This window comes from Homo sapiens, chromosome 4, assembly GCF_000001405.40.
Source record: "Homo sapiens chromosome 4, GRCh38.p14 Primary Assembly".
In the NCBI taxonomy this organism is placed as follows: Eukaryota; Metazoa; Chordata; class Mammalia; order Primates; family Hominidae; genus Homo; species Homo sapiens.
In genome coordinates, this window is record NC_000004.12 from 9,450,667 (window position 1) to 9,474,965 (window position 24,299).

At 46.7% G+C, this 24,299-nt stretch overlaps 2 pseudogenes; both read left to right on the top strand.

Moving 5' to 3' along the window:
* OR7E86P (olfactory receptor family 7 subfamily E member 86 pseudogene) lies at positions 8,456–9,678 on the top strand (annotated as a pseudogene).
* OR7E84P (olfactory receptor family 7 subfamily E member 84 pseudogene) lies at positions 18,160–19,583 on the top strand (annotated as a pseudogene).

The window sequence follows — 24,299 nt, forward strand, 5'->3', positions numbered from 1 at the left end:
CTCTATTTTCATTTGTGCATTTTAACATTTACTACCTTAATTTACATCCACAGCCACATTGTTGTTTCACCCATAGTACTATATCCGATGCGGGGAGTAAGAGCCAGCCCTTCTTGCCCCCCTGGCTCTTAGGACCCCCATCGCAGGGGGGTGAGGCACCCCCCGCGATGCGGGGAGTAAGAGCCATCCCCTCTTGCCCCGCTGGTTTTTAGGATCTGCGGTGAACACACAGCCTGTTTATCATATTGTGAGTAATATCATCTCCCGCTCTGGAGATTATGAACTGTTTCACAAACCGGTGTACACTCTGGGTATACAGAGATTGTACACCCGTCTTTATTAGGTGTCATATCATCCTCTTCCTCCCTGAATATTAAGAACAGTATCACATGGGTGTTTCTACTCCCTGGGATATCGCGTGTCATATCCTCCTCTCCCACGTTGCAATTAGAAACAATATCAGTGGGGGCGAGTCCACCTTCTGTGATATTGAAAGTAATATCATTCTCTTCCCTCTGGGATCATGGGAACTATATCCTTGGTAGTGTCCACTTTCTGCCATATATATAGTCCTATCACCCCCTCCGCCTTGGAATGTTATTAAGGACCATCTCACACGGGGGTGTACACTTCCTGCTATGTTGGGAGTAATAGCATTGTCTTCTTCCGTGAATATTAGGAGCAAAATCACCGGGTGGATGCACACCCAGTGCTATATTGGCAGTAACATCATACTCCAGCCCCTGGAGATTATATTCGGATCAATATCACCGGCTGGGTGTACACCTACTGCGATGTTGAACGTAATATCATGCTCTCTCCCACCCTGGACATTAGGAGCAATATCACAGGTGGGTGTACACTCACTGAGGTATTAGGGAGTAATATTAGTGTGAATTATACCTCATTTCTTATTAACATGAATATGAATGACCGATATTAATATTAATATTAAGAAAAATTGCTAATAAAGTTTTCAGATTAATATTAATATGAATTATTAGGAGCTAATATTACTGTTTTCTAATGAATAAGATCAATATCAGTTATTAATATCAGGCGTCATTAATCATTAATATTAATCATGTATTGTTATCATTAGTATAACTATTTAATATTAATTATCATTATTATCGGTATTGATTTGAAAAATTATATTATCAGTTATTAATATTGATAATTATTAGTGTCAATTAATAACTGAGATTATTAATTGCGGTAAGTCGCATTGCGCCATTCCACCCCACTTCAGCAGCTCGTTTACGACCCAAAACGGGGTCACAAATGCCCCTGAGAGAGCAGCGGTAGACTGGGATAGATGAGGATAGTCACGTGGTGGAGAGGCGTGTTTTTGGGTACCAGCCCTTCACCTGCGTCGACCTTCTCAACTGGAAAAACAATACACCGCCCTATACCGAAAAGCCACAAGCCCTAATTGATTTGCTCCAAACTGTTATACAGACCCACAACCCCACCTGGGCTGATTGGCACCAGTTGCTCATGTTCCTCTTTAACAGCGAAGAAAGGCGGAGAGTCCTCCAAGCAGCAACTGAGTGGCTAGAGGAACATGCACCAGCTGATTATCAAAACCCCCACGAGTATGGAAGGACCCAGTTGCCAGGAACAGACCCCCAGTTGGACCCACATGAAAGAGAGGATATGCAAAGGCTAAACCGAGACAGGGAAGCTCTCTTGGAAGGATTAATGAGGGGAGCACAGAAGGCCACAAACGTTAACAAGCTCTCTGAGTTCATTCAGGGAAAAGAACAAAGTCCAGCACAATTGTACGAGAGACTGTGGGAGGCCTATCGTATGTATACGCCCTTTGATCCCGATAGCCCTGAAAATCAGCGCATGATTCACATGGCTTTAGTCCGTCAAAGCGCAGAAGACATGAGAAGAAAACTGCAGAAACAGGCTGGGCTTGCAGGGATGAATCCATCCCAATTACTAGAAAGAGCTAGCCAGGTGTTTGTAAACAGGGATGCAGTAAGCCATAAGGAAAAAGGCAAAGAGAATGGAGGTCAGGCCCGGTGACACGCCGACCTGTTTGTCAGCTGCAGCAATCAGAGGGCCCCCCCCAAAGAGGCAAGGGAAGGGGGGCCCTGGGAAAGAAACTCAGCTTGGCTGTCAGAGTTTGCAGCATAACCAGTGTGCTTATTGTAAAGAAATAGGACAGTAGAAAAACAAATACCCTCAGCTTAAAAGAAAACAAGGTGACTCAGAGCAGGAGGCCCCGGACAAGGAGGAAGGGGCCCTGCTCAACCTGGCAGAAGGGTTCTTGGACAGAGGGAGACCGGGCTCAAGCGTCCCCAAAGAGCCTGTGCTCAGAATGACAGTCAGGGGTGGAGACACTGACTTTCTTGTAGATAGCGGTGCTGAACATTCGCTAGTAACCGCCCCAGTCGCCCCCTTATCCAAAAAGACTATTAACATCATCGGAGCCACGGGGGTTTCAGCAAAGCAAGCTTTCTGCTTGCCTCGGACTTGTACTGTAGGAGGACATCAAGTTATTCATCAGTTTTGGTACATGCCTGACTGTCCCTTGAACTTTTCAGGAAGGGACTTGTTCAGCAAGCTGAGAGCCACTATCTCTTTGACAGAGCATGGCTCTTCGCTGCTAAAGTTACCCGGAACGGGAGTCATTATGACCCTTATGGTCCCCCGAGAGGAGGAATGGAGACTTTTCTTAACTGAGCTGGGCCAAGAGAGAAGACCAGCTCTGGCTAAGCGGTGGCCAAGAGTATGGGCAGAAGACAACCCTCCAGGATTGGCCAGTTAAGACTGGGGCCCTGCCAGTGAGGCAAAAAGAGGAGCCGGTCCCCAGAGAAGCCCTTCAAGGTATCCAGGTCCGTCTCAAGCACCTAAGAACTTTTGGAATGATTGTTCCTTGTCAATCTCCATGGAACACTCCCATCCTTCCTGTTCCCAAGCCATGGACCAAGGACTACTGGCCGGTACAGGATTTGCGCTTGCTTCATCAAGCTACACTGACTTTCCACCCAACAGTACCTAACCCGTCCACATTGTTGGGGTTTCCACCAGCTGAGGACAGCTGGTTCACCTGCTTGGACCTGAAAGACGCTTTCTTTCCTATCAGATTAGCCCCCGAGAGGCAGAAGCTGTTTGCCTTTCAGTGGGAAGATCCGGAGTCAGGTGTCACTACTCAGTACACTTGGACTGGGCTTCCCCAAGGGTCCAAGAACTCCTCCACCATCTTCGGGAGGCGTGGGCTCGAGACCTCCAGAAGTTTCCCAGCAGAGACCTAGGCTGCGTGTTGCTCCAGTAGGTTGATGAACTTCTGCTGGGACACCCCACGGCAGTCGGCTGTGCCAAGGGAACAGATGACCTACACCGGCACCTGGAGGACTGTGGGTAGAAGGTGTCCAAGAAGAAAGCTCAGATCTGCTGACAGCAAGTACGTTACTTGGGATTGACTATCCGACAGGGGTCGGAACGCAGCCCAGGATCAGAAAGAAAGCAGGTCATTTGCCATCTAGCAGATCCTAAGAGCTGAAGACAGTTGAGAGAATTCTTAGGAGCTGTGGGGTTTTGTAGACTGTGGATCCCAAACTTTGCAGTATTAGCCAAGACTTTGTATGCGGTCACCAAGGGGGCGGGGACCGGGAACCTTTGGAATGCAGATCCCAACAACAGCAAGTCTTTCATGAGTTAAAGGAAAAACTTCTGGCAGCCCCAGCCCTGGGGCTACCCGATCTGACAAAGCCTTTTCCATTGTATGCATCAGAGAGAGAAAAGATGGCTGCTGGACTTTGAACCCAAACAGTGGGGCCCAGGCCGAGGCAGGTGGCCTACCTCTCTAAACAACTAGACGGGGTTTTTAAAGGATGGCCCCCCTGTTGGAGGTCCTTGGCAGCAACTGCCCTGCTAGTACAAAAAGCAAATAAGCTGACTCTTGGGCAAAACCTGAACATAAAGGCCTCCCGTGCTGACTTTAATGAATACTAAAGGACATCATTGGCTCACAAATGACACACTCACCAAGTACCAAACTTTGCTCTGTGAAAATCCCCGTATAACCATTGAAGTTTGTAACAGCCTACACCCCGCCACCTTGCTCCCGGTATCAGAGAGCCCTGTCGAGCCTGGTTGTGTAGAAATGTTGGACTCAATTGATTCTAGCAGACCTGACCTCCGGGACCAGCCTTGGGCATCAGGAGACTGGGAACTATATGTGGATTGGAGCAGCTTCTTCAACTCCCAAGGAGAGAGAGATGCAGGGTATGCAGTGATAACCCTGGACACTGTTGTTGAAGCCAGATCGTTGCCCCAGGCCACATCAGCCCAGAAAGCTGAACTCATTGCTTTCACTGGGGCCTTAGAACTCAGTGAGGTTGAGACTGTAAGCATTTACACTGATTCTCCGTATGTCTTTTGAAACTTTCAAGTGCATGGAGCATGATAGAAAGAAAAGGACCTATTGAACTCTGGGGGAAAAGACAGAAAATATCAACAAGAAATCTTGCAATGATTAGAAGCAGTATGGAAACCCCACAAGGTGGCAGTTAGGCATTTCAGAGGACACCAGTGAGCTTCAATCTTGCTGGGTTTGGGGAATTCCTACGCTGACTCAGAGGCTCGAAAAGCAGCATCTGTCCCCTTATGGGTATCAGTGCTCCCTCAAGCACCTGATCTTGGACCTGCTTCTTCTAAAGAAGAAAAGGACTTTCTCCAGGTAGAGGGAAGCACAAGTGATGGAGGAAGGATGGATTCGGTTACCAGATGGGAGAGTAGCTGCGCCACAGCTGCTGGGAGCTGCAGTTGTACTGGCTGTGCAAGAAACCACCCATCGAGGTCAGGAGTCACTGGAAAAGTTGTTAGGCCGGTATTTCTACATCTCACCTTTGTCAGCCCTTGCCAAAACGGTGAGGCAGCGGTGTGTTACCTGCCGACAGCATGATGCGAGGCAAGGTCTAGCCGTTCCGCCCGGCATACGAGCTTATGGAGCAGCCCCCTTTGAAGGTCTCCAGGTGGACTTCACAGAGATGTCAAAATGTGGAGGTAACAAGTATGTACTAGTTCTTGGGCATACCTACTCTGGGTGGGTGGAGGCCTATCCAACACTAACTGAGAAAGCTCGTGAAGTAACCCCTGTGCTTCTTCGTGATCTGATTCCTAGATTTCGACGGCCTTTAGGGATCGGCTCAGACAAGGGGCCTGCGTTTTTGGCTGCCTTGGTACAGAAGACAGCAAAGGTATTGGGGATCAAACGGAAACTGCTTGCCCCCTCCCTGCCTCAGAGTTCCGGAAAGGTGGAGCGGATGAATCGGACTATCAAAAATAGTACTACTGTCTTCCCCTCTGGATATTTAAAACAACACCACAAGGGGCGTCAAACCACCTGCTAAATTTGAGGGAATGTTATCCTCTCCCCCAATCCCCGGCCCCGAATATTAGAGACAATAACACAGGGGTGATGTATACCCACTGCTTTATTGGGAGTAATATCATCCTCTCCCTTCTTGGATATTAGGAACAATATCACACTGTGCGTGTACGCCTGTTGCGAAATTCAATGGAATGTCATCCTGCGCCTCCCTGGATATGACGAACAATATCACGGGGGATGTACAACTTCTGAGATATTGGGAGTGATATCATCCTCTCCCTTCTGGAAGTTAGGGACTATATCACAGGGATAGTGTACACCCTCTGAGATGTTGGGACTAATATCATCCTCCCGCCCACTGGATAATAAAAACCATATCACAAGGGGCGTGTACACACACTTCGATATTGGTATGAATACCATCCTCTCCTTCTTTGGATATTCGGTGCCATATTTCAGGTGGGGTATACACCACCTGCAATATTGGCAGTAATATGATTTTCTCTCCCCCTGGATATCAGAAACAATATCACAGGGGGTTGTAAACAACCCCTGCGATATTTGGAGTAATATCATCGTCTCCCCTCACGATTATTAAGAGCAATATCGTAGGGGTGGAGGATGTACACCTCCTTTCATATTTGATATCATCCTCTTCCCCCATGGATATTAGGAACAATATCAGGAAGGGATGTACAGACCCTGTGACCTTTGCTGTCATAGAATTGTCTCTCCCCTAGATATTAGGAAAAAATGTCACTGGGGATGTGAACAGCCCTGCAATATTGAGAGCAGTATCATCCCCTCCCCCCTTGCATATTGGGAACAACATCACAGGTGGGGTGTACTGCGTCTGTGATATTGGGAGTGAAATTTTCCTCTCTTCCCCTGGACATTAGGAAGGGTATCAGAGGGGGAGGGTGTACATTCCCTTTCGATATTCAACGTAACCTTATCCTCTCACTCCCAGGGTATTCAGAACAATATTACAGGAGGGGTGTACACCTTCTGCGATATTGAGAGTGATATCATCTTCTTTCTCTCCGGATGTTAGGAACAATATCACAGGGTTGTGTACCCCCCCTGCGATATTGGGAGTCATATCATCCTCTCTCCCTGTGGATATTAGGAAGAGTATCACAGGGCTGTGGAAACCCCCTGCGGTACTGGGAGTAATATCATCCTCTCTCCCTCTGAATATAGGAAGATTTTCACAGGGGTGTGTTCACCCCCTGCGATATTGGGAGTCATGTCGTCCTCCCCAAACCTGGATGTTAGCAACGAGATCACAGAGGGGGTGTACACACCCTGCGACATTGGATGTAATATGATCCTCTCCCCACCTGGATACTGAGAAAGATACCACAGCACGGGTATACGTTTCCTACACTGTTGAGAGTAATATCGTTCTTTTCCTTTCTGGATATTAGGAAGAACATCACAGGGGTGCTGTACAATTACTTCGATATTGGGAGTAATATCATCCTCTATTTTCCTGGATATTGGGCACAAAAACACAAAAGGGTGTACAACCCCTGCGATATTGGGAGTAATAGCATACTCTCCATCCTTGGATGTTAGAAAACAATATCATCAGGGCTGAACACCCCCCGCGATAATGGGAGTCATGGTTACTCTTTCACAGGCCATTTGGAACAATATCACAGGGGATGTTTACAAACAGGGGTGGTGTACATCCCCTGTGATACTGGGAGTAACATCATTCTCTCCATCTCCAGATATTAAGAACAATATCCCGGCGGGAGGTGATACACTCCCAGTGATATTGTGAATAATGTCATCCTCTCCTTCCATGGATATTAGGAATGAAATCACAGGGGGGTGTACACCTTCTGTAATATTGGAAGCAATATCATCCTCTCCCCCGCTGGATATTAGAAAAAAATATCACTCACGGTGTACACCCACTGTGATATGAGGAGTAATATCTTCCTAGGGTATTATGAAAAATTTCACAGTCTGTACACACATGGTGTACACTCACTGTGATATTAGGAGTAATATCTACCTAGTAGATAACAAATACCATAGCAGTGTGTACACCCACTTTGATATTAGCTGTAATATTTTTCTAAGTTGTTACAAATAAGATCACAGGTTGCACCAAGATGGTGTACACTCACTGTGATATCAGGAGTCGTATCTCTGTAATATATTATGAATAATATCACAGGGTGTACACCCACTGTATTATTAGGAGTAATATCTCTGTAGGATGTTACAATTAAGATCACAGGGTGTAGAGCCACCATGATATTAGGAGCAATATCTTTCTAGGATATTACAAATAATATCACAGGGTGTACGCCCACTCTACTTTCAGGAGCAATATCTCCCTAGCATATCAAAAATCCTATCACAGGGTGTCCAATCTCTGCCTTCCAGGTTCTAAGGGATTCTCCTGCTTCAGCCTCCCGAGTAGCTAGGGTTACCAGCCACCACGCCCGGCTAATTTTTTTTTTTTTATTTTCACTGGAGACGGGGTTTCACCACGTTGGCTAGGCTGGTCTGGAACTCCTGACCTCAGGGGATCCATCAGCCTCGGCCGCCCAAAGTGCTGGGATTACAGGTGTGAGCCACGGTGCTGGGCCAAGACTTATAGATTCAATTCACTTGGAAACACAGCTCCCATTTTTGAGTGTGCATGTACTTTTATGAAGAAATGATGTCAGAAAACCGAAGGATGATAATAAATATGAAAAGTAACAGGCATGGGAAAAGCTCTTCCGATTGAGAACTATAAGGTTCGATTTCATTTTCAGATAATGGGGTCCTAGCTCTTTTGTCTTCCCTTTACATATTCTATATCAATGGAAGTGGTAGCACCGTGTCAGAATAAAGTAGAGTGTATTTCACAGCTTCTTAATTTCTTTCAATTAGACTGAGATCTTTTTCTTAAAGAGAGAAGGACATTGTTATTGCATTGTATTTTTTCTGAAAAAAGTAGGCCGTATTTTACTAAGATCACGGATTTGTTATATATGACGTTTCGGTCTTCTAATATTCTTCAGTGGATTTTCTCTAAAGTAGTATGTACAGAAAGCCTTGTAGAGCAAAAATGTAAATCACGTAATAATTCTGAGATTGTTGGAATTGTCACAACTGAGAAAGATTGCTGGCGGTGTATGGTCCGCAAGTGTGAAAATGTTCCTTGTGAATTGCTTGCATCCAGCATTAAGGGCAGGTTTTTATCTTTTCTTTTTCCAATCCTCTTTCCTTCTCAAGGTGTCAAAGACACACAGGGCCACGGAATCTCACAGATGTCTGAGAATTCCTCCTCCTGGGACTCTCAGAGGATCCAGAACTGCAGCCACTCCTCACTTTGCTGTCCCTGTCCCTGTCCATGTATCTGGTCACGGTGCTGAGGAACCTGCTCAGCATCCTGGCTGTCAGCTCTGACTCCCCCCTCCACACCCCCATGTACTTCTTCCTCTCCAACCTGTGCTGGGCTGACATCGGTTTCACCTAGGCCACAGTCCCCAAGATGATTGTGGACATGCAGTCGCATAGCAGAGTCATCTCTCATGCGGTCTGCCTGATACAGATGTCTTTATTAGTCCTTTTTGCATGTATAGAAGGCATGCTCCTGACTGTGATGGCCTATGACTGCTTTGTAGCCATCTGTTGCCCTCTGCACTACCCAGTCATCGTGAATCCTCACCTCTGTGTCTTCTTCGTTTTGGTGTCCTTTCTCCTTAGCTTGTTGGATTCCCAGCTGCACAGTTGGATTGTGTTACAATTCACCATCATCAAGAATGTGGAAATCTCTAATTCTGTCTGTGACCCCTCTCATCTTCTCAAACTTGCTTGTTCTGACAGCGTCATCAATAGCATATTCATATATTTCGATAGTACTATGTTTGGTTTTCTTCCCATTTCAGGGATCCTATGGTCTTACTATAAAATCGTCCCCTCCATTCTCAGGATTTCATCGTCAGATGGGAAGTATAAAGCCTTCTCCACCTGTGCCTCTCACCTAGCAGTTGTTTGCTGATTTTATGGAACAGGCATTGGCATGTACCTGACTTCAGCTGTGTCACCACCCCCCAGGAATGGTGTGGTGGCGTCAGTGATGTACGCTGTGGTCACCCCCATGCTGAACCTTTTCATCTACAGCCTGAGAAACAGGGACATACAAAGTGCCCTGCGGAGGCTACGCAGCAGAACAGTCGAATCTCATGATCTGTTCCATCGTTTTTCTTGTGTGGGTGAGAAAGGGCAACCACAGTAAATCCCTACATCTGCAAATCCTGCCCTTAAGTCACATTCTTTTTGTGGCTTGATGACATTTATTCCTTTCCGCATTTCCTTTGTGAATATTGCTTTCTTCGTTATGCCTTGAACGGAATGGGTGGCGATTCTGGGATCCTTTGTTTAGCAGAAACCTCATGACTGAATCCTCTATATCTAGGCGGCCTCTTTTAGTTTCTGAGCAATAACCCTGTCATCCAGGTGGAATCACAACCATCCTTTTATATACACGAAGTCCTCACTTCGTTTTGGAATTCCCTGAACACTGACTTTATGGAAACAATGTACAGGAGGTCCTCCAACACCATTGGTTGTTCAAAGTTGTGTAGTTATAATGTTGATGAAAAATAAGTGGTTTCACTATACACAATTTTGCTTCAAGGTGAAGTTTCCAAGAGACTTTCAAAGATGTTAAGTGAGGACATACTGTACATCAAATTCATATCCTCTTCCACAGTTCATGTGGAATGTCTTTATAAACTGCTCCTATAGAATCTATTTAGGCAGGTTATGTGGAGAGATCCACGTCGCCGTTCCTCAATCTTGGCTTTGAGTCAACTCACCTGGGGAGCTTACAAATGATGATGCCTGGGTCTCAATACCTGAGATTCTGATTACCTTGCACCTGTGTGAGTATGTGGATTTTTTTTTTTTTCTTTTAAAGCACTAGAGGTTGTTCCAATAACGAAGTTTTTAGAGGCATCAAGCTCCAATGAGTAAGAACAGAAATTAATTGTAATATGATTTCTTCAAATATTATCTTCAAATGCATTGTCCAGCAACAGCATACAAATATTTATTATGTTGTTTTTTCTTACCATTTCGCATTTTCTATTTCTTTCTTTTCCTTATTTTTTGAGTCAGAGTTTCACTCTTGTTGTCCAGGCTGGAGTTCAATGGCATGGTCCTGGCTCACTGCCACCTCTGCCTCCCGTATTCAAGCAATTCTCCTGTCTCAGCCTTCCAAGTAGCTGGGATTACAGGCATGCGCTACCATGACTGGCTATTTTTTTTTTTTTTTTTTTTGGTATTGTTAATAGAGACAATGTTTCTCCATTTTAGTCAGGCTGGTCTTGAACTCCCCACCTCAGGTGATCCGCCCGCTTCCGCCTACCAAAGTGCTGGGATTACAGGCATGAGCGACCGCGCCCAGCCACCACTTAACATTTACATTTTACATTTGCTGAAGTTATAGATTTATACATACTTTGGTTGCTGCTTTGTTGGACACTGGCTCATAAATAAGAGGGGATATAAAAAAGAATAAAATGGGCACAATATCCCTGAAGTTTCACATTCCTTGACATTTTAAAAATATTTGCTCTTCAGAAATTTGTTTCAATGAAGAAACTGTGGTATACACACCCAGTGAAGTATTATTCAACCTAAAAAGGAAGAAACTCCTCTCCATTGCAGACAAAATGGATGAGATTGCAGGTCTGTATATTAAATGAAAGAAGCCAGGCACAGAATGACAAATATTTCATGTCCTCACTTCTATGTAGGAAGGAAAAAGGAAACCTTGGCCAGGTGTGGTGGCTCACGTCTGTAATCCCAGCACTCTGGGAGGCGGAGTCGCACGGATCACTTGAGTCCAGGAGTTCGAGACCCGACTGGCGAACATGGTGAAACCCCGTCTCTACGGAAAACACAAACAATGAGCCGGGCGTGGTGACGCGTGCCTGTAGTCTCAGCTACTCCGAGGGCTGAGGCCCAAGAAGCGCTTGAACTCGGGAGGCAGAGCTTGCAGTGAGCCCGGACTGTGCCTGTGTACTCCAACCTGGGCAACAGAAAGAGACTCCATCACACACCTACACACAAAAGGAATCTCAGGAAGGTGGAAAGTATAAAGGTGGTTAGCAGACGCTAGGAAGAAAAGGGCTGGGATAGGGAATGAAGACAAGTGGATAATTGGGTCCCAAAATACAGAAAGATGGAATAAGTGAGTTCTAGTTTTTGATAGTATAGTATGAAAATTTTAGTTCACAAGAATTGCTTGCATATTTGCAGATGCTTTGGTAAGAAGCTTCCTAACTTTCTCATTATGCTGGTTTTTAAGCTCTTCTCTTTCTGCTCTTGAAATCATGCTGGTTTTTTGTTTTTTATTTTTATTTTTTGTTTTGAGATGGAGTTTCGCTCTTGTTGCCCAGGCTGGAGTGTCATGGTGCAATCTTGGCTCACCGCAACCTCTGCCTCCTGGGTTCAAGCGATTCTCCTGCCTCCAACTCCCGAGTAGCTGGGATTGCAGGCATGCGCCAGCACGCCCAGCTAATGTTGTATTTGTAGTAGAGACGGGGGTTTCTCCCTGTCGGTCAGGCTGGTCTTCAACTCCTGACCTCAGGTGATCTGCCCGCCTCGGCCTCCCAAAGTGCTGGGATTACAGGCATGAGCGACCGCGCCCGGCCCATGCTATATCCTTATCTGTTTTCTGTTGCTGTTTGTTTGTTTTGGAGACCAGAAATAACTTCTCACCTATATGTTCACATGATACTTCACATGAGTGCTAAGAAAGCTCATTGGTGGTAAAGCAGCCTTTTCAAGAAATGGTGTTGGAGAAACTTGATTTCCACATGCAGAAGAATGAAGGTGGACCCTATGTCACACCAGGAGCAAAAATTAACACAAACTGGATCAGAGACCTCACCCCAAGCGCTAAAAATATCATACACCTAAAAGAAAACATTGGCCACGCTTTCATGACATCAGATTGGGCAATGTTCTCTGTGACATGACACCAAAAGCATAGGCAACAAAAGAAAATTAGATTCCTTGGATTACATCTAAATGGCAGACACTTTTGTGCAGCAAAAAACACTGCAAACTGAGTGACAAGATAACCCATGGATTAGGAAAAAGATTTGCAAAGCATATATCTGAAAAGAGGCTGATAGCCATCATATATAAAGAACAGCTAGAACTAAACAACAAGAAACCCAAAGCATCCCATCAGCAATGGTCAGAAGTCTCGAGTAGACGTGTCCCTAAAGAAGATATCACAATGGCCAATAAGCATCTAAAATGATGTTCAAAATCACTCATCATAGGGAAGCGCAAATCAAACCAAGAATGTGATACCACACATTAGGATGGATGTGATAGACAAACAGGCATTGGTGAGACTAGAGGGAAGTAGGAATGCTCGAATCTGATCGGAGGGAATGTAAAACCGTGAAGGAATGGGGAAAATAGTATGGCATGTACTGGAAAAATTAGAAAAAGAATGATCAGATGTTCCCACAGTTTCATTTGTTGGTACCTACCAAAAAGAATTAGAAGCCAGGAGTGGAAGACAGATTTGTGTACACCCATATTCATAGCAGTATTATTCACAACAGCCAAAATGTGGAAGCAACCCAAGGGTTCGTGGACAGATGAATGAAAAAGCACACTGTAGTTCCTTCATACAATGGAAGACTATTCAGCCTTCAAAAAGCAGGCACTTCTGGCCAGTGCGGTGGCTCACGCCTGTAATTGCAGCGTCTTGGAAGACCGAGGTGGGCGGATCACCTGAGGTCAGGAATTCAAGACCAGCCTGGCCATCTTGGTGAAACCCTGTCTCTACTGAAAATGCAAAAAAAGAGACGAGCGTGGTTGCGTGTGCCTATAGTCCCAACTATTCGGGAGGCTGAGGCACAAGAATAGCTGGAACCCAGGAGGCAGAGGTTGCAGTGAGCCCAGATTGTGCCACTGCACTCCAGCCTGTGCGACAGAGTGAAACTCCATGGAAACACAAAACAAAACAAAGTCAAACGAACAAACAAAAAACAAAAAAACAAAAAAAAAAACAGAGAGGCACTTCTGACGCAGACCGCAACATGGATGAACCTTGAAAACATTATCGTCAGTGAAATAAATGAATCCCAAAAGGATAAACACGCCCAGGCTCAGTGGCTCCCACCTGTAACCCCAGCACTTTGGAAGGCTGAGCCAGGCGGATCACTTCAGGTCAGGAGTTCGAGACCAGCCAGGCCAATATGGTCTCTATTTAAAATACAAAAATTATCTGGGCGTGGTGGCGCACGCCTGTAATCCCAGCTACTCGGGAGGCTGAGACACAAGAATCGCTTGAAACCAGGATGTGGAAGTTGCAGTGAGGCGACATCACGCCACTGCACTCCAGGCAGGGTGACAGAGAAAGACACTGTTTCCAAAACAAAAAAATTAAACACGGTATGATTCCACTTATCTATCAAGTGTCTAGAGTAGTTAAACTCATAGAGTTGCAAACTAGAACGGTGGCCCCCGGGGGGGACGAGAAAGAGGAGTGGAGAGCTTGGTGAATGGGTGCAATTTCCATTTTGAAAGATAAAAATGTTCCGCAGACGATGACGGTGATGGTTGCTAAACAATGTGAACGTACTTACTGTCATGAAACTGTAAACTGAAAAGCGTGGAAACAGTAAATGTTTATACTGGCCATTCTATATGAACTAATATATATTTATAATTTTTAATATTTATACGTGGTATATTTTCTCATAATAAAAGATGAAAATTAAAGCAGTTGGATGTTTAAAAAGAAAAGAAAGAAGTGAAGAATACACACTAGCTTTCTCCTGATTAGAGGAAGAGCCCCAAAGCTTCTATGGACACTCACTTTTCTCTTCTTCTTGCATTATTATAAGGACATCCTTAGAGGTTGGGGAACTTGGGTGACTTTGGCTAATAAGGAGCTCTGTGCCTTGAACCCCCCAGGCCACAGAATAGTAAATACTCAGTCTGTGCGTCCAGCCCTGCAATGTGAGGTCCAGTCCTGTGGGCTCCACAGACATCACCTGTATCAAGAGGCTCACGTCTCACCCTGTCTTCTTGCCAGCCTTGAGGACAGAGCCTGAGCCTCCATGGTGCACCACACAGGGAAGACAGTGGACCTGTTCTCCGTGGTCATGGCCCAGCAGAGGGGAAGGACAGTTCAGTGAGTGTAGGCAAAAGAAACAGAGATCAGACTCTTACAGTGTCTATGTAGAAAGGAAAGACATAAGAGACTCCATTTTGAGAAAGACCTGTACTTTCAACAATTGCCTTGCTGAGATGCTGTTAATGTGTAGCTTTGCCCCAGCCACTTTGACCCAACCTGAAGCTCACAAAAACATGAGTTGTATGAAATCAAGGTTTAAGGGATCTAGGGCTGTGCAGGACGTGCCTTGTTAACAAGATGTTTCCAAGCAGTATATTTGGTAAAAGTCATCGCCATTCTCTAGTCTCAATAAACCAGGGGCACAATACACTGTGGAAAGCCTCAGGGAGCCCTGCCCTTGAAAGCGGCATATTGTCCGAGGTTTCTCCCCATGTGATAGTCTGAAAAGTGGCCTCGTGGGAGGAGAAAGACCTGACCGTCCCCGAGCCCGACACCCGTAAAGGGTCTGTGCTGAGGTGGATTAGTCAAAGAGGAAAGCCTCTTGCAGTTGAGAGAGAGGAAGGCCACTGTCTCCTGCCTTCCCCTGGGAACTGAATGTCTCAGTATAAAACCCGATTGTACGTTTGTTCAATTCTGAGATGAGGGAAAAACCGCCCTATGGCGGGAGGTGAGACATGTTTGCAGCAATGCTGCCTTGTTATTCTTTACTCCACTGAGATGTTTGGGTGGAGAGAAACATAAATCTGGCTTACGTACATGTCCTGTCATAGTACCTTCCCTTGAACTTCATTATGACATAGATTCTATTGCTCACATGTTCGTTGCTGACCTTCTCCTTATTATCACCCTGCCCTCCTACTACATTCCTTTTTGCTAAAATAATAATAATAATCAGTAAAACTGAGGGAACTCAGAGGCTGGTGCCAGTGCAGATCCTTGGTATCCTGAGCGCTGGTCCCCTGGGCTCACTGTTGTTTCCCTATACTTTGTCTCTGTGTATTATTTCTTTCCTCAGTCTCTCATCCCACCTGACTAGAAATACCCACAGGTGTGGAGGGGCAGGCCACCCATTCAAGTGAGTGCTGAGGGAGGGTCGGGAGCCTTGTTTGGTTTCCTCCTCCTCAGGACAAACAGGAGAGTGCGGTGGGCAGATGGGAGGAGACCAATGTGCAAACTGTCCTCTCAGCAGACTGTGCAGTTTCTGTTGTTGGTTGTGCTGGGGGTCTCAGAAATCTTATTCAAAATTTTGCTTTCCTCCCCCACTGGTTGTGCTTTTCATAGACATTTCACTCATGATAGCAGGGAATCAGTCCCTCTAAACTATTCCCTAAGAACAACAAAAAGATTATGTAGGTGATGATGAGGATAAAGAGGATGACGACAGACACCATGGCATCATGAACCCTTACTGAGGGCTTCCTAAAGGCCAGGCTCTGAGCTCTGTGCTCTATGCAGCTTGTTTCATTTCATCTGCGTAGTCTCCACGTTATTAGTGCACATTTCAGGATGATTTTACAGACGAGAAAAGGAGCAACGGCTTTCCATAGAACTCGTACTAGATCATGAAGTCAAAAAGGGTGAAGTCCAATTTGAACCAGGCAGTCTAAGTCCAGACACATGGCATTTGGCCAGTCCTCTCCCTGCAACCAACCTGCCTTCTCAAATCCTCGTCACTCAGGCGGAAGCCCCTGCTCATTGTTCCCTTCCCTTTGGGGGTTCCTTGTAGACCACAGCTAGACTAGTGGGTGCCACAATCACTGTGTCAAGTACGGAAAGGGCAGCTGAGATCACATCGAGGATTCCAGAAAGAATTGGCACAGGATCATTCGGGGCGCATCTCTCCCTTGCCCCTGTTCCTGGCTTTCCTTACAGCTCTCGACTTCCTCAAAGGAGTCATCAATTCGGAGTTTGGCTTCCATTCCTATTGAGGAAGCTGGAAAGTGTTTCAAAAATGCTCCTCCGATGTGCCTGTGGTTAAGACCTCTGAGCTCTGCTTAAAACTTTTGGAAGCTGGGAGCGGTGGCTCACGCCTGTAATCCCAGCCCTTTGGGAAGCTGAGGCAGGCGAATCACAAGGTCAGGAATTCGAGACCAGCCTGGCCAACATGGTGAAACCACGTCTCTACTCAAAATAGAAAAAAATGAGCCAGGCGTAGTGGCGGGCGACTGTCATCTCAGCTAATTGGCAGGCTGAGGCAGGAGAATAGCCTGAACCTGGGATGCAGAGGTTGCGGTGAGCTGAGATCACTCCACTGCACTCCAGCCTGGGCAACGGAACGAGACTCCATCTCAAAACAACAAAAACAAAAACAAAAACAAAAAAAACCCACAACTTTTTGAGAGTTGGAAGACCAGGAAGTATAGTACCTGGGACTTCGAGTCTGGCCATGAATTTTGAATACCACCCTTTCCACTTCTCTGTATGGCAAAGGGTGAGATGTCCATCCTCTGAGACTCAGCACTCTCATCTGACTTGATTTCCAGTTGATCCGATGGAAGTGAGTGATGATTAAGCTGATCGTGGGTGCCCGCTGCGTGATCTCTAGGTGACGGATGCCTAAAGTAAAGGCAAAGCCAATTTTAGATACATTCCTTAAGATTTTCAGCTTCAACTCCACACAATTCAACGGAAATATCCCCTGACCTGAAGTTCTGCTTTCCCTGCATTCCAGACAGCACATTTTGTTTTGTCCTTCTCTCAGTAAGGACTGAGTACTGTGAGAGGAACAAGTGAGTCTCTTTGGTTTCTGATTCCCCACAGCCTATATCGTGCTTGGCAGATAGGAGACAGCAAAAGTCAAATATATGTTAATGATTGAATTGACACTTCCTTGCTTCACCAAAATTGGCTGTCATCAGCGTGACTTTGACTTACTTGATTCTTTTTGTTTTTTGTTTTTTGAGACGGAGTTTTGCTCTCATTGCCCAGGCTGGCGTGCAGTGGTGTGATTTCGGCTCACAGTAGTCTCTGCCTCCCAGGTTCAAGCCATTCTCCTGCCTCAGCCTCCCGAGTAGCTGGGACTACAGGCGTGCGCCGCCATATCGGGCGAAGTTTTTGTATTTTTAGTAGAGGCGGGGTTTCACCATGTTGGCCAGGATGGTCTTGATCTCCTGACCCAGTGATCCGCCCTCCTTGGCTTCCCAAAGTGCTGGGATTACAGGCGTGAGCCACCGCGTCCGGCCAAACTTTCTGATGAAAATTCTAAGTCCACCTAAGCTAAGGACAGGAGTTAGAGCTTCCATGAATTTTAAAACAAGACCCATCGATTTGAGTAAGCAATTACTCTCTCGAAGGAGAAAAGTCCGAAAACACAATGATGAAATCACTAGGACCTAACTGGCATGTGGAACTATTTTCTGCTGATGAACTATCAACTTTCATTTCATTTCCAGATGGCATGGTCTGAGCTGTTATACAGTGTTTACAAATGTTCTAAATCAAGGGAATTTGTATCAATCTAGTAGAATAAATAAAATATTTGAGTTCTTAATTTCATTTAATTAGGATAACCTTTTTCTTAAAGTGAAGACAATGGTTTTATTACATCTTGTTCTTCAGAAAAGATAGGCTGTATTTTCTAGCAATTACGAATTTGTTATATATGATGATCTGGTTCTTGGAACGTTCTTGAAGCTAGTGTCTCTAAGGCAGGTGTGTATAGCAAGACGTGAATAACACAGCAATCGATGTTGAAAGCATTATAAGGCAATTGAGCTTGTCAGAACTACAAAATATTGCTGAGTGTGGATTGCTCTGAAATCTGAAAACATTACTTGTGAATTGCTTCTATCTAAAATGCAGACATAATGCTGGGTATTGGTTTACTTGTTTCCGATTTTTCAACCCTCTTTTCCAGGCAAAAGAGGGTTGTATCCAAACGATACAGACCCACAGAGTCTAACAGATGTCTCTATATTCCTCCTCCTCGAACTCTCAGAGGATCCAGAACTGCAGCCGGTCATCGCTGGGCTGTTCCTGTCCATGTGCCTGGTCACGGTGCTGGAGAAACTGCTCATCATCATGGCAGTCAGCCCTGACTTCCACCTCCACACCCCCATGTACTTCTTCCTCTCCAACCTGTCCTTGCCTGACATCGGTTTCACCTCCACACGGTCCCCAAGATGATTGTGGACATCCAGTCTCACAGCAGAGTCATCTCCTATGCAGGCTGCCTGACTCAGATGTCTCTCTTTGCCATTTTTGGAGGCATGGAAGAGAGACATGCTCCTGAGCGTGATGGCCTACGACCAGTTTGTAGCCATCTGTCACCCTCCATATCGTTCAGCCATCTTGAACCCGTGTTTCTGTGGCTTCCAAGATTTGTTGTCCTTGTTTTTTTTTCTTTTTTTTTTTTTTTCCTCAGGCTTTTAGACTCCCAGCTGCATAACTTGATTGCCTTACAAATGACCTGCTTCAAGGATGTGGAAATTTCTAATGTCTTCTGGGAACCTTCTCAACTCCCCCATCTTGCATGTTGTGACACCTTCACCAGGAACATCAACCTGTATTTCCCTGCTGCCGTATTGGGTTTTCTTCCCATCTCGGGGACGCTTTTCTCTTACTGTAAAATTGTTTCCTCCATTCTGAGGGTTTCATCATCAGGTGGGAAGTATAAACCTTCTCCACCTGTGGGTCTCACCTGTCTGCTGTTTGCTGATTTTATGGAACAGGCGTTGGAGGGTATCTCGGTTCAGATGTGTCATCTTCCCCGAGAAAGAGTGCAGTGGCCTCAGTGATGTATACGGTGGTCACCCCCATGCTGAACCCCTTCATCTACAGCCTGAGAAACAGGGATATGAAAAGTGTCCTGCGGCGGCCGCACAGCAGCACGGTCTAATCTCAATATCTTCTTATCTGTTCCATTCCTTTTGTAGGGTGGGTTAAAAAAGGCAGCAAGGTCAAATAAGAATGACATCACAGGGTGAACACCCACTGCGACATTACGAGTAATAGCTCTCTAGGATATAGAATATACTGTCACAGAGTATACACACATGGGGTACACCCACTGTGATATTAGAAGCAATATCTCCCTAAGTATGATGAAAAATATCACAGGGTGTGCACACTGTGTGATATGAGGAGTCATATTTACCCTGGATATCACGACTCATATCAAGGGTGTACACACACCGTGTACACGCACTGTGATATCAGGAGTTGCATCTCCCCAGGATATTATGAATAATATTACAGGGTATACACTATGTGTGAACATCCACTGTGATATTTGAAGTCATATCTCTCTATGAGATTACAAATAATATCAAAGTGTGTACACCCCTGTGACATATTAGGAGTAACATCCTTCTAGGGTATTGCAGATAACATCACAAGGTGCACAACTTCTGTGACCTTTTGCGCACACTTTGTGCCATTCAAGGAAACATCCCCCTAGGATATTACGAATAATGACACAGGCGGTTGACACACATGGTGTACATGTCCTGTGCCATCAGGAGTAATATTCCCCTAAGATATTATGAATAATATCACAGCAGATGTACACATATGGTGTTCACCCCATGTGACATTAGGAGGAACATGCCCCTAGGATATTAGGAATAGTATCACAGGCGTTGAATACGCATGGTATACACCCCAGGTGACATTGAAAGTAACATCCCCCTAGAATTTTATGAATAATATCACAGGGAGTACACCCCGTGTGACATTAGGAGTAACAATCCCCGAGGATATAACGAATAATGTCAGGGGGCGTACAGACATTGTGACCTTAGTGGTAACATCTCTTTAGGATATTACCAATAATATCACAGGGTGTCCACTGACCGTCATATTAGGAGTCCCATTTTCCTAGGATATTATGGATAATATCACAGGAGGTGTTCACACACAATGTGTACACCATGGGTGTACACCCAATGTGATATTTGAAGTCATATGTCCCTAGGATCTTACGAATATTATCAAAGGGTGTACACCCTATGTGACATTAAAAGTAACATCCCTTTTGGATATTCCGAATGCTATCACAGGGTGTGATATTAGGAGTGTGATATTAGGAGTAAGCTCTTCCTAGGATAACCCATGTGATATTAGGAGTAGCCCCTTCCTAGGATATTACGAATAACATCACAGGGTGTACACCCCTTTGACTTTAAAAGTAACACCCCCCTAGAATATTGCAATAATATAACAGGGTGTACAACCCCTGTGACATTACGAGTAACATCTCTCTAGGATATTTCAAATGATGTCACTGGGGGCACACCCTCTGTGATATTAGCAGCAACATCTTTCTAGGAGATTACGAATGATATCACAGGATGTACACTCACTGTGATATTAGAAGGAATATCTCCCTAGGATATAAGCTATCACATCACAGAGTGTACACACATGGTGTACACCCACTGTTTTATTAGAAACAATATCTCCCTATGATAGCATGAAAAATATCACAGGGTGTACCCTCTGTGGGATACTACAAGTAATGTTTACAATGGATATTACAAATAATATCACAGGATGTACACACATGGGGTACACCCACTGTGATATTAGGAGTTATATCTCCCTAAGATATTACATATAATATCCCAGTGGGTGTAGTCCATGTGTGTACACCCACTGTGATCATTAAAGAAATATCTCTGTATAAGATTACAAATAATATCGAAGGCTGTACAGCCCCTGTGACATTAGGAGTAACATCCCCCTGCAATATTGGGAGCAATATCAGACGGAGTACACCCCTGTAACGTTAGGGGTAATATCCCCCCCAGAATATTACTCATAATATCACAAGGTGTACACACATTGTGACATTAGTAGTAATATCCACCTAGCATATTTTCAATAATATCACAGAAGGAACACACCTGTGACATTAAGAGCGACATCGCCCTAGAATAGAAAGAATACGATCACAGGATGTACACCCCCTGTGATATTAGAATCATCTCACCAGAATTTTACAAATAATGTCACAGACTGTTATCTTCTGTGACATTAGGAGTATAGACCCTTGGGAAATTATGAATACTATCAGAGGGTGTACACCCCTGTGACAGGAGTAACATCCTTCTAGAATATCATGAATAATATTACAATGTGTAGAAACCCTGTGTCATTAACAGTACAATTGCCCTAGGATATTATGAAATAGAACACAGGCAGTACACGCCGTGTGACATTAGAAGTCACATTACCGAAGGATATAACGAATAATATCAGAGAATGTACAAGCATTGGGACATCAGTAGTCACATCTCTTTAGGATAATATGAACAATATCAAAGGGTGTACACGCATTGTGAAATTAGTAGTGAACTCCCGCTGGGATATTACGAATTTTATGACAGGGTCTACACGCCCTGTTACGTTAGTAGTTACATTTTCCTAGAATATGACGAAGAATATGAAAGTGTGTACAGGACCTGTGATTTACGAGTAATATTTCTATAGAAGATTACACGTAATATAACTGTGTGTACACCCCGTGTGACGTTAGGAGGCACATCCCACAAAACTATAAAGAAAAATTTCACAAGGTGTGCAACATCTGTGACATTAAAAGTAACATGTCCCTAGAATATGAGGATAATATCGCAGAGTGTCCACCCTCGGTGATATGAGGAGTGACATCTTATAAGGGTAACACGAGCAATTTCACAAGGTGTACAAACCCTGTGACAAAAGGAGTGACATCCCTCCAGCACATTCCGAATCATACCAAAGGGAAAATACTCCGTGTGACAATAAAATCAACCTCCACTTAGGAGATTAAGAATAACAGCATAAGCTGTACAAACATTGTGACATTATTATTAACGTCCAGCTAGGGTATTGTGAATAATATCAGAGTGTGTAGAGAATTCTGACATCAGGATTCAAATTTCCGTACAATATCACGAATAATATCGAAGGGTGCATACCCCCTGGGAATTAAACAGTCACACCTTCCTAGAATATGGAAAATAATGTCCCAGGGTGTTAACCAAGAGTGGCAGTAGAGAAAACATACTAGGAGAAAGGGAATAATAATACCCCTCTCCACCCGCTGGACATTAAGAGCCACATCGCAGGGGGGCGAGGGTGTCCCCCGCGATGCAGGGAGTAATATCACCCTTCTCTCCCCTTCTGGATATTACCAGCCACATAGCAGGGGGGAGACGGTGACATCGCGTTGCAGGGAGAAATATCACCAGCCTCTCGCCTCGGGATATTCCGATTCACATCGCAAAGGGGCGCGTCGCCACCCTCGATGCGAGGAGTAAAGAGCCAGCCAGCCCCTCTTGCCCCCCTGGTTCTTGGGACCCCCATGGCAGAGGGGCAGGGCGCCACCCGCACTGCGGGGAGAAAAGAGCCAGCCAGCCCCGCTTGCCCCCCTGGCTCTTGGGACCCCCATGGCAGAGGGGCCGGGACCCCCCCGCGCTGCGGGGAGTAAAGAGCCAGCCAGACCCTCTTGCCTCCCTGACTCTTGGGACCCCCATGGCAGGGGGGCCGGGTGCCCCCCGTGCTGCGGAGAGTAAAGAGCCAGCCAGCCCCTCTTGGCCTCTGGCTCTTGGGAACCCCGTGGCATGGGGGCCGGGCGCCCCCCGCGCTGCGGGGAGTAAAGGGACAGCCAGCCCCTCTTGCACCCCTGGCTCTTGAGACCCCCATGGCAGGGGCGCGGGGCGCCCCCCGCGCTGCGGGGAGTAAAGAGCCAGCCTGCCCCTCTTGCCCCCTTGGCTCTTGGGAGCCCCATGTCGGGGGGGGGGGCGCCCCGCTTGCTGCGGGGAGTAAAGAGCCAGCCAGCCCCTCTTGCTCCCCTCGCTCTTGGGACCCCCATGGCAGGGGGCCCGTTCGCCGCTCGCGCTGCGGGGAGTAAAGAGCCAGCCAGCCCTTCTTGCCCCCCTGACTCTTGGGAACCCCATGGCAGGGGGGCGGGGCGCACCCTGCGCTACAGGGAGTAAAGAGCCAGCCAGCCCCTCTTGCCCCCCTGGCTCTTGGGACCCCCATGGCAGGGGGGCCGGGCGTCCCCCGCGGTACGGGGAGTAAAGAGCCAGCCAGCCCCTCTTGCCCCCCTGGCTCTTGGGACCCCCATGGCAGGGGGGTGGCGACCCCCCTCGCTGCGAGGAGTAAAGAGCAAGCCAGCCCCTCTTGCCATTCTGGCTCTTGAGACCCCCATGGCAGGGTGGCCGGGCGCCCCCCGCCCTGGGGAGAGAAAAGAGCCATCCAGCCCTTCTTGCCCACCTGGTTCTTCGGACCCCCATGTCAGGGGCGCGGGGCGACACCGCGCTGCGGGGAGGAAAGAGCCAGCCAGCCCCTCTTGCCCCCATGGCTCTTGGGACCCCCATGGCAGGGGTGCGCGGCGCCCCCCGCGCTGCGGGGTATAAAGAGCCAGCCTGACCCTCTTGACCCCTGGCTCTTGGGACCCCCATGACAGGGGGGCGGGGCGAACCCCGCGCTGCGGGGAGTAAAGAGCCAGCCAGCCCTTCTTGCCCCCCTGGATCTTGGGACCCCCATGGCACGGGGGCGGGGCGCCCCGTGCGATGCGAGGAGTAAAGAGCCAGCCAGCCCCTCTTGCCCCCCTGGCTCTTGGGACCCCCATGGCAGGGGGGCGGGGTTACCCCCGCGCTGCTGTGAGTAAAGAGCCAGCCAGACCCTCTGGCCACACTGGTTCTTGGGACCCCCATGGCAGTGGGGCGGGGCTCCCACCGCGCTGTGGGGAGTAAGAGCCAGCCAGCCCCTCTTGCCCCCCTGGCTCCTGGGACCCCCATGGCAGGGGGGCGGGGCGCACCCCGCGCTGCGAGGAGTAAACAGCCAGCCTGCGCCTCTTGCCCCCCTGGCTCTTGGGACCGCCATGGCAGG